General features: G+C 39.0%; 1 long non-coding RNA gene across 1 annotated transcript in view; it reads left to right on the forward strand.

Moving 5' to 3' along the window:
• The first annotated feature begins 247 nt into the window (after positions 1 to 247).
• LOC107986178 (uncharacterized) overlaps positions 248 to 15,892 on the forward strand; it is a 245,894-nt gene continuing 230,249 nt past the window's right edge. The window contains exons 1-2 of the long non-coding RNA NR_188483.1: positions 248 to 438; positions 8,154 to 8,229. This is a non-coding gene — a long non-coding RNA (uncharacterized LOC107986178). The remainder of the gene's footprint in view (positions 439 to 8,153; positions 8,230 to 15,892) is intronic.

A 15,892-nucleotide genomic window follows, 5' to 3' on the forward strand; every position in this document is an offset into this window, starting at 1 on the left:
TAACATGAACAATAACTTAAAGAGAGGCTTGTTCAGGCTAAAGATATGATTAATAAAAATGAACAGCCCTTATCTAGCAATGATTATGAGTCATTCTTGCTCATGACGAACTAAGTTCCTGTCCTTTGTAGGGTCAAAAGGGGAAGACTGTTTGGCTGCACATGGCTGATCAAGTCCCTCTTCGTCTACTTCCTTCCCCTGGTTGTTTTCCCTGCCTTACTTTCTTCCAATCCCTGTCTTCAGGATCACTCCAAGCTGTGTTGCTTCAGAGAGAAGTTGCTAAGAAGGCTTCTGTTGCAAATGGCACAAGCTGAATGTTTCCCAGTGCCAGGCAATCCCTCACCCAAGACAACTTGTACAGGCCCTTCACATCCTCTTGGTGCTTTTTCAACACAGCAGCTGTACAGGCTGACTTCTGTCAATCTGTGTTTTCCAAAGGTATGCCAGTGCTCAACAACCTCTGTTTTATGCTCTCCTGCTTCTTCCTGTTCCATTTACCTTTTTTTCTGATTATCTCCTAGAATATATTTGTCATCTAAATAACCCCAGTCCCACATCTCTCTAGCCTTACAAAGTTTTGTACTCAAATGTTGTTCTTATCCATTACATTTGCTTCTGTCTCCCTCCATCCTGATTTTGGCTTAGCTTTTCTGGATGAGTTATACTTGAATAAGATCTACTGGTAACACTCTCTCCATTGGACAAGCCCCAAAGCTGACTTCTCTTAGAATTCTGTTCTTGGAGGAATCTCTTGCTCAAATATTCCCTAGCTTGTTCCCAGATAATCTCTTCTTAATAGTCATAGAAGGAAATTGTTGTCATGGTTAAAGTAGAACCTCCATAGTTCAATTTAATATGAACAAGGATGTAAAGCATTTAGGCATCATGCATAGAGTTGAACATATAACAAATATATAGCCAACAGGTTATCTAAATGACAAAGAATGTCTAGAATAACTCTTGACTTGAATCCACACAGATACAGAAAATGATTGAGCCAAAGGCAGGCTTAGCAGCAACTAATAATTTATTTCCCTCCCCAAAACATGCTTGTTCTAACATGGCATTTATTCAGAGTTATGTTTAATTTGGCTGTCTTAAATGCAAAAAACATATACGGACACAAACACATATTTTAAGACATAGTTGTTGTTTTTTTCTCCAGAGAAATGGCTCCTTTGATATACTGAGAGAGTGGAAATAAATGTTGCTTTGAATTAGTCTCTTTGGTCATCTGCTAACTGTGCTACTTATAGCACACACACAAAATTCTGGAGGGACCATATCATAATGTATGAGAGGCCGGGTGCTGGAATCAGCCCGCCTGAATTCTGGCTCTACAGTTTCCAGCTGCATGATGTTTGTTAAATTACTTTAGCAACCTAATCTTCATTGTCACCACTTTTTTTTTTTTTAAATAACATAAATCACCTTGGATGGTTTTGTGAGGACGAGATGCAATAACTTGAGGTGAAGAACTTTGAAGAGTGCTGAAATACAGTCAGAAGTCAATCAATTTTAGTTGAGAATTTTTACAAAGTGTAAGAGAAAGTGCATAGGCTCTGGAGTCACAGATACCTGGCTTCTCTTTCTTCTCTGCCATTTACTAGATATGTGATTTCCATAGAGTTGCTGCTTGGAATCTCAGTCCCTTAATCTATAAAAAGGGGACAATCATACATATTTCCCAAAGGCTCTTAAATGAGGTAATACGTAAATCTTCAGATAACAATAGATGTTCACTAAATGTTAATACATTTTCACCTTCTCTACCACTGGAAAACCAGTAGAATAAATAAAAGAGGGAGGAAATAGGGACATTAATAAGGAAATTGTTTCATAGGAAGCTGTGAACATTAGGAATTAGTTGAAGGGTGACTTATAGCCAAATCACAAGGTACGAGTTTCTACTTTGCCCGTGCTCTTTCTTCCCCTGCCACACCTCTGGGTCTCTATTCTGAGCCCTGTCTTGGGACTGAAATGGGGTATTAGAACCAGTGAGTCTTCTTTCCTAGTATGCAGAACCCTGTGATCTGCTGAGACAGCCTTCAAAGATTCCATGCTTGCAGGATGTCTGCATGTGAGTCTGTGTGTTTATCTGTTTGCATACCTTGATGTCCATGCATAGTTTCCAGCATCAAGGTGAAAATGTCGGTGCCTGTCATCAGATATATCTGGAATGATTGATATTCCTACTTGAGCACTTGATATGTGTGTCCATGAGCAAGTCATTTAACTACTCTATGAGGACTAAGTGAGACAAAAGACTGAATTCATAATGGCCGGCCGGCACTAAGTGGGAGATCAGAGCTGACTACAATGATCAGCATAATAATTATCAATCTCCCTATAGATAAGCACATATAGATCTGTGGCTGTGGCTGTATAAGAGACATCCATGTAGGTCTCTACTTCTCTTTTTCTAAGAGAACAGGCAGAGGATCTCCAGGCCTCTCCTTACATACTTTGTGTGAAAGCATCAGCGGGCCCTACTGACTCTAATTAACTCATTGTATCAGTTCAGAGCAATGCATTCCAAATGCCGCTGATCGCTCTGTGCTGGCTGTCTCCAGGCAAAGCTTTTTGTAGGCATTGGCCATGAGCTCACTCTAACTTACTAGACAGTGGAACGTCGTCGAAAAAAGTAAGAAAATTGGCTCCAGAAAGATCTGATCCCATTCACAGCTCTATTCCTTACTCCCTGTTCAATACTGGGCCAGTTTTTCTGCCTCTGGGAATTCTTGTTTTCTTATTGGAAGAATAGAATGATAATAAACTTCACAGATGAATCAGATTCTAAATGTATAGATAGGGAACCAAGCACAGAGACCAGCATTCATCTCAATCATTCAGCAAGTAAATACGATGCTTCTCCTGTGAGTCAGGCACTGTGTTAGGCTCTGTAGATGACATAAGGGTGAGGTTTTTACTCTATTGGAACTTGGAATTACTGGGATGTAATAAATGTGTCCAGAAAATGTATATTTTTTCTCCTTTCATCTCTTTGTATGGAAATTCTTTCTAATTTTTGGAGTGTCTGGCCTCTTATTGCCTGTACTCTGCCCCACTGGTGAATTTCTAGTTCAGTGTGTCTCATGGAAATCTATTATTTTAAAGGCAGGATGTGGATCAAGGTAGTTTCAAGCTTGAGGAAGTCTTGAGGTGGGATAAAGCACATGGAGCATTGCAAAGGTTTTTTGTTTTGTTTTGTTTGTGTGTGTGTGTGTGTGTGTGTGAGAGTGTGTGTGTGTGAGTGGCTGGCTGGAAAGCTGCCAAATTTCTAATAATAAATGAATTTGCCTTTATTTAAAGAAGGAAGTGGTACTTTCCCTCACAATAGAGGGAGGAGAAAGGCTGTCTCCTCAGGATTTTGTTACCAGCACCACATCTCCCCTGACTGGAAGGTGGCTTGAGTTAGGAACAAAAATGACAAATGCAAGCCCAGCCTTAGAGAGCCTCCCAGATAGGTGAAAATGAAAGGCGGAAAAGTACAAGTTACTGAAAGGAATGATCTAGAATGCAAGTGGGATGTGGCAGCATAGCACTGGTCATGCAGTATGGGTGGTAAGTTGGGAGAAGGGGCTGGACCAGCACTGATTATTCTCATGTCCTGGATATGACAGAGATGGCTGGAGCTCAGCACCTGTCTCTGTCCCTCTGCACTTCCCAGGGTACCCCGCAGTTAGATTACGGTCCCTGCAACAGGGTTCTAGCCAATGGGATGTGGCTGAAGTGGCTCATTCAATTTCTTGAGAGCCTTCTTAGTGCCAGATCTGTCCTCAGCCTTGGAAATTCAGCTGGAAACACAACCAATACAAATACCTGTCCTCAGAGAGCTTACATATTCTGGCGAGTGAGATAGACAATGAATTTACACTCATTGAATAAGCAAAATATAGTGAATCTGATAAAATATATGAACAAGTAAAATACATAAAATATATGCTTTTATATGTAATTTGTTTATAAGTAAAAATGTAAATGTTTCTATATAGTTTTATAAATTTATGTAAAATTATATAAGTATACAAATATGTATGTGTGTATATATAGTATGTATATAATATATAGTACAAAATATAAAGATGGTGATAAATGCCAAGCTGATAAATAAATTAGGTAAGGAGAATCAGAAGTACTGGGGGAATAATTTTGAAGAGGTGGCTATGGAACCCTAATAGAGAAAGTAAAATTTGAATAAAGAGACATAGAACTAGTCATGCAGACATCTGAGAAAAGAACATTGCATAGTTATCAGGAACTCCACTCAGCAGAGTGGAAGGCGGGGAATAGAACAGGGAAAAGTCTGGAGAGAGGATGTATGTCTGGATCATCTCTGGCCTTGAGGCCGCTGCAAGGTTGTTGGCTTGCAGTCTGGGGTAAATGGAGAAGCTAGCACATGAGGAGTGAGATGGGACATATTTCATGAGAATTACTCAGATGGGTGTTTTGAGAATACACTGAAAGGGATGTGGGAGCAGACCAGAAGCAGAAAGACAGTGTGGAGCCTCTTGCAGTGTTAAGAGAAGAGGCTGGCATGGACCAGGAGTTGGGAGTGGAGGTGGGAGATTCAGATACATTTTGAAGGAGCCAATAGAATTTGCTTGTGAGCAAGATGTCAGGAGTGAGAGCAAGAGAGGAGTCATAGGAGACTGCAGAGTTTTGTGCCTCTAAGGCAGCTGGAAGTTGCTTAGGCTGGAATGGAGTTGCCAGTCTGAGTTTGGAAAGGCTACAGTAGGAGGACTATGCGTGTGGAGTGGGTAATGGTGTCAAAACCTCAAATTTGAGATGCCCATGGGATATCAAAATTAAGATTAAACGTAGACACTGGATGTGTGCCTTGGATGCTGGGGGGAGAGGTTGAGATAAAAATGCACAGTTTGAAGCCATTGGTGTACACATAGTACTTGAACCCTTAAGTGGTGACAAGAAGGTGGGGTCACCCTTCTTATCTTTCTGCATCCAAGGTGGTTGAGTAACAGCTGCAATGGCAGAAAGGAAATGAGTCCACTTGAAGAACAGGAATTTCTGAACATGACAGGAAGGAGAATGGCCTCAGAGGCAGCCTGCTTCCTGAAAAAGTTTTCTGGACTTCCAAGCAGAACCCAGAGATATTAATAAACAGAAAGGGAAAACAAAATTATGGTAATTTTACTAATGTGAGAAAAATAACATAAATTATTTACTAAATAATTTGGTAACCACAGACTTTCTAAGCAGTGACTCAGAAGGTTCTTGCTGGAAGGTGCACCTTGAAACACCGATACTGGAGTGAATGACAGGCACAGAGGTTCTGATGACTCATCCACTTGTTTCACTTACATGTCCTCTGGAAGCTCTGGGGCCATTCTAATGGCAGTCTTAGTTCTAAGGCAATTTCAAGAGAACAAAAATAAAATTATTTTTTCATTGAAAGCTATATAATGTGTTACAGGTTAACACAGAAATCACATAATATCAAATGTGTGCATAGACCAGGAAGCAAATGTAAATGTTATAAGTAAATGAAAATGCATGAATGTATAGACAAGAATGGTGGAGTTCGTGGCAAATTAGGATACAGTAATTATTCAGTTGACTGCTCTCATGTGGGACCAGAAGTCAAATTTTCTTCAAATTTTCAAGAGCCTAGAAATGTGGGTTTTTATGTGGAAATGCCCAATATTTAAATGTTGGCAACCAGTTTACTTTAGTCAACATCTGTGTACATGAAACAAAGTATGTTTTCTGTCTAATGGTAGCTGATTGGACACAAATTTTCAACCACTGATGGAGGACTTTATTTACCTGTTCTTTTCACAAGCATTTGCTGAGAAGCTGCTGTTATTGGTGGATACAAGTGAAACAAAACTACATATGGCATGATTGATTCCCACCTAGTAGGGAATGTGAACAGCTCTACATATGGTGTCATGCTTTGTGTTTGTAAAGGATAGTTCTGAGGCAAAATGGGAAGAAACAAATACCTCTGCAATGACAAGACTCTAAATACCCCATGAGGAGAGTGACATTTGTAGTAAATCCAGCTTGGGGATGAAAGAGTGTGCAAGATGTTAGAAGTCTGCTGAACTTGTATTTGGTTTATTATAAAGTATACAAATGACTAAACTGTCCTAATCTACTGTTGTTGTGAGAGTGGACTGCTTATCTGCCATTTTTCATTATGATCTATGATCCATGGTAGTCACTAACTACAACTTCTTATTAACAGTTTTACTGAAATATAATTTGCATAGGATACAATTAACTTATTTAAAGTGTATTATTCAACATATTTTAGAATATGTACAGGGCTACACAACAATTACCACAATACAGACAGTCCTCAACTTAGGATTGTTCCACTGATCATTTTTCAACTTTATGATGGGTTTGTCAGGGTATTAAATGTGCTTTTGACTTATGATGGATTTATTGCAATGTAACTCGATCATAAGTCGAGGAACATCTGTATAAATTATAAGACACTTTTCCCCTGTAAAATAAATCTCATATCCATTAACAATCATCTCCCACTTTCTCCTCCCACTCATCCTTAGGTAACCACTAATCTATTTTCTGTCTCTATTGATTTGCCAATTCTGGAATAATAGATGCCACAGAATTTGCCATTCTGTGGAATTCAATTCCACAGAAATGGAATAATATAATATTCGAGTCTTTTGTGACTGCTTTTACTTAGCATAATCTTTCCAAGGTTCATTCATTTCCCAACATGTTTTACCAAATAATTTCTTCTTATGGCCAAATAATATCCCACTAAATAGATACGCCACATTTTATAAGTTCATTCATCAACTGATGAACATTTGCATTGTTCACACTCTTTGATTATTATGAATAATTCTCCTATGAACAGTGTGTACAAGTTTTTGTGGATATCTGTTTTCCATTCTCTTGAATATATACATAGGAGAAAATTGCTGGGTCATATGATAACTCTATGTTAAATAGTTTGAGGCACTGCCAAAATATTCTTCAAAGTGGCTGCATCATTTTACATTTCCACCAAAAATATATGAGGGTTACAGTTCCTCCACAACCTTACAAAACACTTGTAATCATGTGTTTCTTTTTTATTAGAAGCAGTCAATCGGTATAAAGTGATATCTCTGTTGTTTTTACTTGAATCTTTAGCAGCGTATGATGTTAAGAAGGTTTTCATTTGCTCGTTGGCTATTTGTATGCATTCTTTGAAGAAATTAAATTTTTCTCTCCTATAATTGAATTGTCTTTTTTTGATTGAGTTGTATATATTTTTTTTACGTTTTTCTACTTAAAAGTCCTAATGAGATTTATGGTTTGTTAATATTTTCTCCCATTCTGCTAGTTGCTTATCATTTCTTAATAGTATTGTTCGCAGAGAAGAGTCATGAAGATTTATGCCTGTTTTATCCTAATAATTTTATAGTTTTTATTTTTTGTTTTTCCATTTAGGTCTGTGATAAAAAAAATTTTTTTTCTTTTCTTTTTTTTTTTATTTGAGATGGAGTCTCACTCTGTCACCCAGGCTGGAGTGCAGTGGCATGATCTTGGCTCACTACAAGCTCTGCCTCCCGGGTTCACACCATTCTCCTGCCTCAGCCTCCTGAGCAGCTGGGACTACCGGCGCCCGCCACCACGCCTCGCTAATTTTTTTGTATTTTTAGTAGAGACGAGGTTTCACCGTGTTAGCCAGGATGGTCTTGATTTACTGACCTCGTTGTCTGCCCGCCTCGGCCTCCCAAATTGCCGGGATTACAGGCATGAGCCGCTGAGCCCGGCCGGTCTGTGATAAATTTTATGTTAGGCTGGACACAGTGGCTTATGCCTGTAATCCCAGCAATTTGGAAGGTCGAAGTGGACAGATCACTTGAGCCCAGGAATGTGAGACCAGCTTGAGCAACATGGCAAAACCCTGTCTCTACGAAAAATACAAAAATTAGCTGGTTTTGGTGGCATGTGCCTCTGGTTCCAGCTACTAGGGAGGCTGAAGTGGGAGGATCACTTGAGCCTGGGAGGTTGAGGCTGCAGCCAGCTGTGATCACACTGCTGCACTCCAGCCTGGGTGACAAAGCGAGACCCTGTCTCTAAATAAATACATCAATTTTAAGTTAATTTTTGTGAATGGTGTGAGGTCGGGGTCTGACTTCATTCTTTTGTGTTTGTCCTAGCACCATCTATTGAAAAGTCTCTTATTTCTCCATTAAATTTTTTGGCACCTTCATTGAAAATCAGTCGAGCATAAATGTAAGTAACTATTTCTGTATTCTCAATTCCATTCCATTGATCTGTGTGTTTATACTAATGCCAGCACTACACTGTCTAGATTACTGTACTTTTGTATTGTTTATCAATCAGAAAGTTGGAAGCGAGTTTTCCAACTTTTTTCTTTAACTTTGTTCTTTGTTTTGGCTATTTGTGGTACTTTGGAATTTCTTAAAAATTTTAGGAAAAATTTGTCAATTTGTAAAGAATAAAGGCAGCAAGAATTGTGTTGCATGTGTAGACCAATTTGGGAGTGTTGCCATCTTAACAATATTAAGTCTTTTATTCCATGACAATGTGATGTGATTCTATTTATGTAGGTCTTTATTTTCTCCCAATGATATTTTGTTGTTTTTATACAAAAATTTTACATCTATTGGTAATTTTGCCAGGTGTAGTGGCTCATGCCTGTAATCCCAGAACTTGGAGAGGCTGAGGTAGGAGGATCACTTGAGCAGGGTCAGTTTGAGACCAGCCTAGGCAACATAGTGAGACTCTGTCTCTCCAAAAAAAAAAAAAAAAAAAAGAAAAGAAAAAGAAAAAATTAATTAATTAGCTGAACATGGTGGCACGTACTGGTAGTCTGACATACTCAGGGCATGGAGGTGGGAGAATCACTTGAGCCCAGGCAGTCACAACTGCAGTAAGCCATGATTGTGCCACCACACTCCAGCCTGGGTGATAGAGCGACACCCTGTTTAAAAAAAAAAAAAAAAACTATTATTATTAATTAAATTTGTGCCTGAATATTTTATTTTGTAATGCCACTGTAAATTGAATTATTTTATTAGTTTTATATCAAAATGCTCATTTTTCATGTGTAAAATTCAATTAATATTTGCATTTTGATCTTATATCCTGAAACTTTGCTGAATGAGTTTATTGGTTCTATTTTTTTTCCAGTGGATTTCTGAGAACTTTCTATATACAAAATTATGCCATTTTTAAAAAAGATAATTTTACTTCTTTCTCTTCAATGTGGGTAACTTACATTTCATTTTATTGACTAATGGCCCTGGTTATAAACCCCAGTATTATGATGACTCAAAGTGATAGAAGCAGACATATTTGCTTGGTCTTGGACCTAATCTTAAGGGGAAAGCATTCATTCTTTCACCATTAAGTATGATATTATCAGAATTTTTTGTAGATACCTTTTAGAAGGTTAAGGGAATTCCCTTCTATTTCTAGTTTGTTGAGTGTTTTTATCATGAAAGGGCATCACATTTTTCAATTTTTTTCTATACCTGTTGAAATGACCCTTTTTTTGTACTTTATTCTATTAATATTGTAAATTATATTCATTAATTTGCAGATGTTAAATCAAACTTGCATTCCTAGAATAAGTTCTACTTGGTCATGACTTAACCTCTTTATTTATTTATTTACTTTTGATGGTATTGAATTCGGTTGCTGAGTATTTTTTTGAGGATATTTGTACCTATGCCCGTAAGGAATGTTGGCAGGCGGTTTTCTTGTGATACTATTTTCTGTTGTGTTTTTTAGGATAATATTGGCCTCATAGAATGAGTTGAGAAGTACTTCTTCCTCTTCTATTTCATGGAAGAGTTTCTGAAGAATTAGTTTTACATCTTTTTTTGGTGGAAGTGAAGTGACACACTCTGGGCCTAGGGTTTCCTTGTAATGGAAAGTTTATAGAATTACTAATTCAATTTGTCCACTCATATGGTGTATTATAATCTTGTATTTATTCTTGAATAAGTTTAGCAATTTGTGTCTTTCTAGGAATTGTCCATTTCATCTAAGTTCCCTAATTTGTTGATTCAATTTTTATATAGGACTCTAATAATTATTTTTATTTTTAAAAAAACTATAGATTCGAGGGTACATATGCAGGTTTGTTACATGGATATATTGCATAATGGTGTGGTTTGGGCTTCTATTGTACTCATCACCCTAACAATGAATATTGTACCCTATAGCTAATTTTTCAACCCACACTCCCTTCCTGCTGTCCCCCTTTTGGAGCCCCCAGTGTCTATTATTTCCGTTTTTGTGTCCATGTGTACCAATTGCTTAGCTCCCACTTATAAGTTAGAAAACGTGGTATTTGATTTTCTGAGTTATTTCACTTAGGATAATCACCTCCAGATCTATCTATGTTGCTGCAAAGGGCATGATTTCATTCTATTTTTATGGCTGCGAAGTGTTCCGTGGTATATGTATACCATATTTTCTTTATCCAGTCATCCACTGATGGATATTTAGGTCGATTTCATGACTTGGCTATTGTGAGTAGTGCTGCAATAAACATATGAGTACAGGTGTCTTCTTTACACAGTGATTTCTTTCCCTTTGGGTAGATACCTAGTTGTGGGATTGCTTAAACAAATGGTAGTTCCATTTTTAGTTACTTGAGAAATCTCTATACTAGCTCAGTAATAATGGCCCCCTTTCACTGCTGATTTTATTCATTTTCCCAATGCCATAAACTCCTGGTTTTCTTACCATGATTTATTAGATTGTCTTGATTGAATATTTTGCCATTTGCTATGCGCCCTTTGGACAAGGTCAGAGATTTTAAGTGATATTTTAAAATATTTTTTACTATTTAAGTTTTTGCTTTGCTGGGGAGAGCATCTGCCAAATTTCTTAATTTACCATTTCTGAAAGTCTCTCAATCGCTACAAGTGTTCTGAAAAATTTCTGAGAATCTGAGGAAACGTCTGAATATTTTCCCCAGAGAAAGTATAATCACAAAAAGAAATTTTATCCAAACTCAGGTGAAATCTTTAGTCTTTCTGAATTCTAGGAACACAAGGTTAAGAATCCTTTTAGACCTCTAAAATTCTATTTTAATAAAAAGTTTACAGAAAGGGAAGAGTGTGGGTTTGCAGATTGTTGTAGATTGCAAATTTGTGTGTAACAGATTTGTACCAGATTTCAGCTAATCATTTATGAGGCTAAATGGGGATTTGGAGAGTCTATATCTGGCTTGTCATCAGTAAGGAAGAGTTGGGGAGTGATCTCTGAGTCTTGCCTAAGTTGTTTGGAGAAGTGTAGTTCTTTGCAGTAAATCCTTTCCTAAGACACAAGAGGGTGGGGAGGTATCTTAAGCTTTGCTGTTTTCCAGGAGCACGGGTCTCAGGAAAATTAAACATAGCCACCACAGAACAGCTAAGATGTTCAGTGGCATCATCTCTGTCCCTATCTGAGTCTCTTGACTGCATCGCACATCTACACTTAGTTTTTTTAAAGAAAGAGTTCAGTGGGAGGCAGGAAAGCCACCCACCCAAACCCTCTGAGCTCTGCATCCCAGAAATAATAACTCCTAACCTAATTTTCTTCCAGATGTGACTGAGCCCCTTTTACCAGTGGGCAGGGTTGCTGTACCTTAACAATTCCTGATTGCTCTCTCTTTTCAATGGGTATGTTCTGATCCCTTTGGCTTTTGGTCAATAAAGCCTAAAATATTTACTACCAGTATTATTAAGTCAAAATTATCTACCGTTTCTCTAGAACAGTGGTTCTCAAACAAAAGCATGTGTCAGAATGACCCAAAAACGTTAAAACTGAGAATGCCGAGCTGCACTTCCAGAGATTCTGGTTGAGTAGGCTTTACTTGTGACTAAATATTTGCATTTCCATCAAATTCCCAGGAAATGCTGATACTGTTAGTCCATGGACCACACTTCAAGAAGCATTAGTCTGGATCTTCAATGTTCCTCACTTACTACCTTCCACCACCTTGGAGTATCTGTTCTCTTTAAATAAAAGTTTTTAAAATTATTTTTTGAAAAAGAAAAAGAAAATGTGTTGCCCAGTTGGTAAGAACATTCTACCATTCTGAGATGTGAAAGGGTAGAATGCTGTCTGGAAGTAGGGAGGTAAAACTCAGACAGACAATTTAGAGAATAGCCTAAAAGATACCTAATTGTTCACCACTCATTATTAACAAGTGTTAACATTTTATCATGGTCTTTTCATAGTTTTAAAATGTTAGCTGTAATAATACTGTTGATCTCTTTAACAAATGCTGCTTCCATCTCATATATTTTCCTAGTCTCATTGCTCTTCCTATCACTTTTATTTACCATGATAGGCAGCAGTATCATTGATCTGTTATGTGTCCACCCTGTCCATGGTTTTTGTTATTACAACATAGTATGTGTACACACACAATATATAACCTTAATATTTATAATATGGCATCACATTTTATTCAACGTTTTGTTTTTTCACTCAGTATTGTATATTTTATATCTTTCCATCCTGATACAAGTTTAATTATTTTGTTTACTGTAAATATATATATTATTCTCTCATATGAATATCCCTCATTTATTTAATCATACCCCTATTGATGGACATTTAGATTTTGTTTATAATTCATTGCTTTTATAAAAATGCTGCAATGAAACTTTTTGTAAGTCATGTTATGCATGTGAGCATGAGTTTCTTTCTTGAGTATGTATGTGGAAGTGGAAAAGTGAAATTGATAAATGTATTAATCAAGGTTATCTACAGAAACAGAACCAATAGGACATATATCGATGCTTAGAAAAAGATTTATTATGGGGCATTGGCTCACTCAATTTTGAAGGCTGAGAAATTCCATGTTCTGTCCTCTGTAAACTAGAGACCCACTAAAGCTGGTGGTATAGTTCCAGTCCGAACCTGAAGACTTGAGAACCAAGGGAGCCAATGGTGTAGTCCCAATCCAAGTTTGAAGGTCCCCAAACTAGGTACCACTGATGTGAGTCCTGGCTCGAGTTCAAGGCCAAGGATCAGGAGCACTGATGTCCAAGGGCAGGAGAGGATGGATGACCCAGCTCAAAAAGAGGGAGAAATTTGCCCTTTCTCTGAGCTTTTGTTCTTTCTCTGAGTTTTTAGTCTGACCTCAATAGATACAATGAGGTCCATCCACATGGGTGAGGGCAGAGTTTCGTGGCTGTGTCCACTGGTTCATTTGCTAATCTCTTCCAGAACACCCTTACAGACACACCCAGAAATAATGTTGAACTAGCTGTATGGGCATCCCAAAGCCTAATCAAGTTCATACATAAAATTAACCATCAGAGTAAAGATTGTACATTTTCAAGTTTACTTACTAAATATCACCAGATCATTCTCAAAAGTGGTTGTATCAATTTGCACTCTGAATGAGAATGTCCCTTTCCACACACCTTTACCTGCACCTGGAATTTCAGGACTCACTTCTTAAAACATAATGCTTTTAATTTTTTGTGTTTTTAGTAGAGACGGGGTTTCACCTTGTTAGCCAGGATGGTCTGGATCTCCTGACCTCGTGATCTGCCCGCCTAGGCCTCCCAAAGTGCTGGGATAACAGGCGTGAGCCACCGTGCCCGGCCCCTCATAAGGCTTGCTTTCATAAATATCTGATGCCATCAAAACCAGTTTTCTTCGTTGACATCTTAAGATCAAAATTCTCAGGACAAGATAATCTTCAAATGAAAAAAATAACTTTTTGAATAAGAATTTTTAAAAAAATCAGAGGAGCCAAGATGGCCGAATAAGAACAGCTCTGGTCTACAGCTCCTAGTGTGAGTGATGCAGAAGACGGGTGACTTCTGCATTTCCATCTGAGGTACCGGGTTCATCTCACTAGGGAGTGCCAGACAGTGGGCGCAGGACAATGGGTGCAGTGCACTGTGTGTGAGCTGAAGCAGGGCAAGGCATTGCCTCACTTGGGAAGCACAAGGGGTCAGGGAGTTCCCTTTCCTAGTCAAAGAAAGGGGTGACAGACGGCACCTGGAAAATTGGGTCACTCCCACCCGAATACTGCACTTTTCCGACGGGCTTAAAAAATGGTGCACCAGGAGATTATATCCCGCACCTGGTTCAGAGGGTCCTCCGCCCATGGAATCTCACTGATTGCTAGCACAGCAGTCTGAGATCAAACTGCAAGGCAGCAGAAAGGCTGGGGGAGGGGCGCCCGCCATTGCCGAGGCTTGCTTAGGTAAACAAAGCAGCTGGGAAGCTCGAACTGGGTGGAGCCCACCACAGCTCAAGGAGGCCTGCCTGCCTCTCTAGGCTCCACCTCTGGGGACAGGGCACAGACAAACAAAAAGACAGCAGTAACCTCTGCAGACTTAAATGTCCCTGTCTGACAGCTTTGAAGAGAGCAGTGGTTCTCCCAGCACACAGCTGGAGATCTGAGAACTGGCAGACTGCCTCCTCAAGTGGGTCTCTGACCCCTGACCCCCGAGCAGCCTAACTGGGAGGCACCCCTAAGTAGGGGCAGACTGACACCTCACACAGCCGGGTACACCTCTGAGACAAAACTTCCAGAGGAACGATCAGACAGCAGCATTCGTGGTTCATGAAAATCCGCTGTTCTGCAGACACTGCTGCTGATACCCAGGCAAACAGGGTCGAGAGTGGACCTCTGGTAAACTCCAACAGACATGCAGCTGAGGGTCCTGTCTGTTAGAAGGAAAACTAACAAACAGAAAGGACAACCACACCAAAAACCCATCTGTACATCACCATCATCAAAGACCAAAAGTAGATAAAACCACAAAGATGGGGAAAAAACAGAGCAGAAAAACTGGAAACTCGAAAAAGCAGAGCGCCTCTCCTCCTCCAAGGGAAGGCAGTTCCTCACCAGCAACAGAACAAAGCTGGACGGAGAATGACTTTGATGAGTTGAGAGAAGAAGGCTTCAGACGATCAAACTACTCTGAGCTACAGGAGGAAATTCAAACCAAAGGCAAAGGAATTGAAAACTTTGAAAAAAATTTAGATGAATGTATAACTAGAATAACCAATACAGAGCAGTGCTTAAAGGAGCTGATGGAGCTGAAATCCAAGGCTCAAGAACTACGTGAAGAATGTAGAAGCCTCAGGAGCCGATGCCATCAACTGGAAGAAAGGGTATCAGCGATGGAAGATGAAATGAATGAAATGAAGCAAGAAGGGAAGTTTAGAGAAAAAAGAATAAAAAGAAATGAACAAAGCCTCCAGGAAATATGGGATTATGTGAAAAGACCAAATCAATGTCTAATTGGTATACCTGAAAGTGACGGGGAGAATGGAACCAAGTTGGAAAACACTCTGCAGGATATTATCCAGGAGAACTTCCCCAATCTAGCAAGACAGGCAAACATTCAGATTCAGGAAACACAGAGAACACCACAAAGATACTCCTCGAGAAGAGCAACTCCAAGACACATAATTGTCAGATTCACCAAAGTTGAATTGAAGGAAAAAATGTTAAGGGCAGCCAGAGAGAAAGGTCGGGTTACCCACAAAGGGAAGCCCATCAGATTAACAGCGGATCTCTCGGCAGAAACTCTACAAGCCAGAAGAGAGTGGGGGCCAATATTCAACATTCTTAAAGAAAAGAATTTTCAACCCAGAATTTCATATCCAGCCACACTAAGCTTCATAAGTGAAGGAGAAATAAAATACTTTACAGAGAAGCAAATGCTGAGAGATTTTGTCACCACCAGGCCTGCCCTAAAAGAGCTCCTGAAGGAAGCGCTAAACATGGAAAGGAACAACCGGTACCAGCCGCTGCAAAAACATGCCAAAATGTAAAGACCATCGAAACTAGGAAGAAACTGCATCAACTGACAAGCAAAATCACCAGCTAACATCATAATGACAGGATCAAATTCACACATAACAATATTAACTGTAAATGTAAATGGACTAAATG

Source organism: Homo sapiens, chromosome 4 (assembly GCF_000001405.40).
Source record: "Homo sapiens chromosome 4, GRCh38.p14 Primary Assembly".
Classification (NCBI taxonomy): Eukaryota; Metazoa; Chordata; class Mammalia; order Primates; family Hominidae; genus Homo; species Homo sapiens.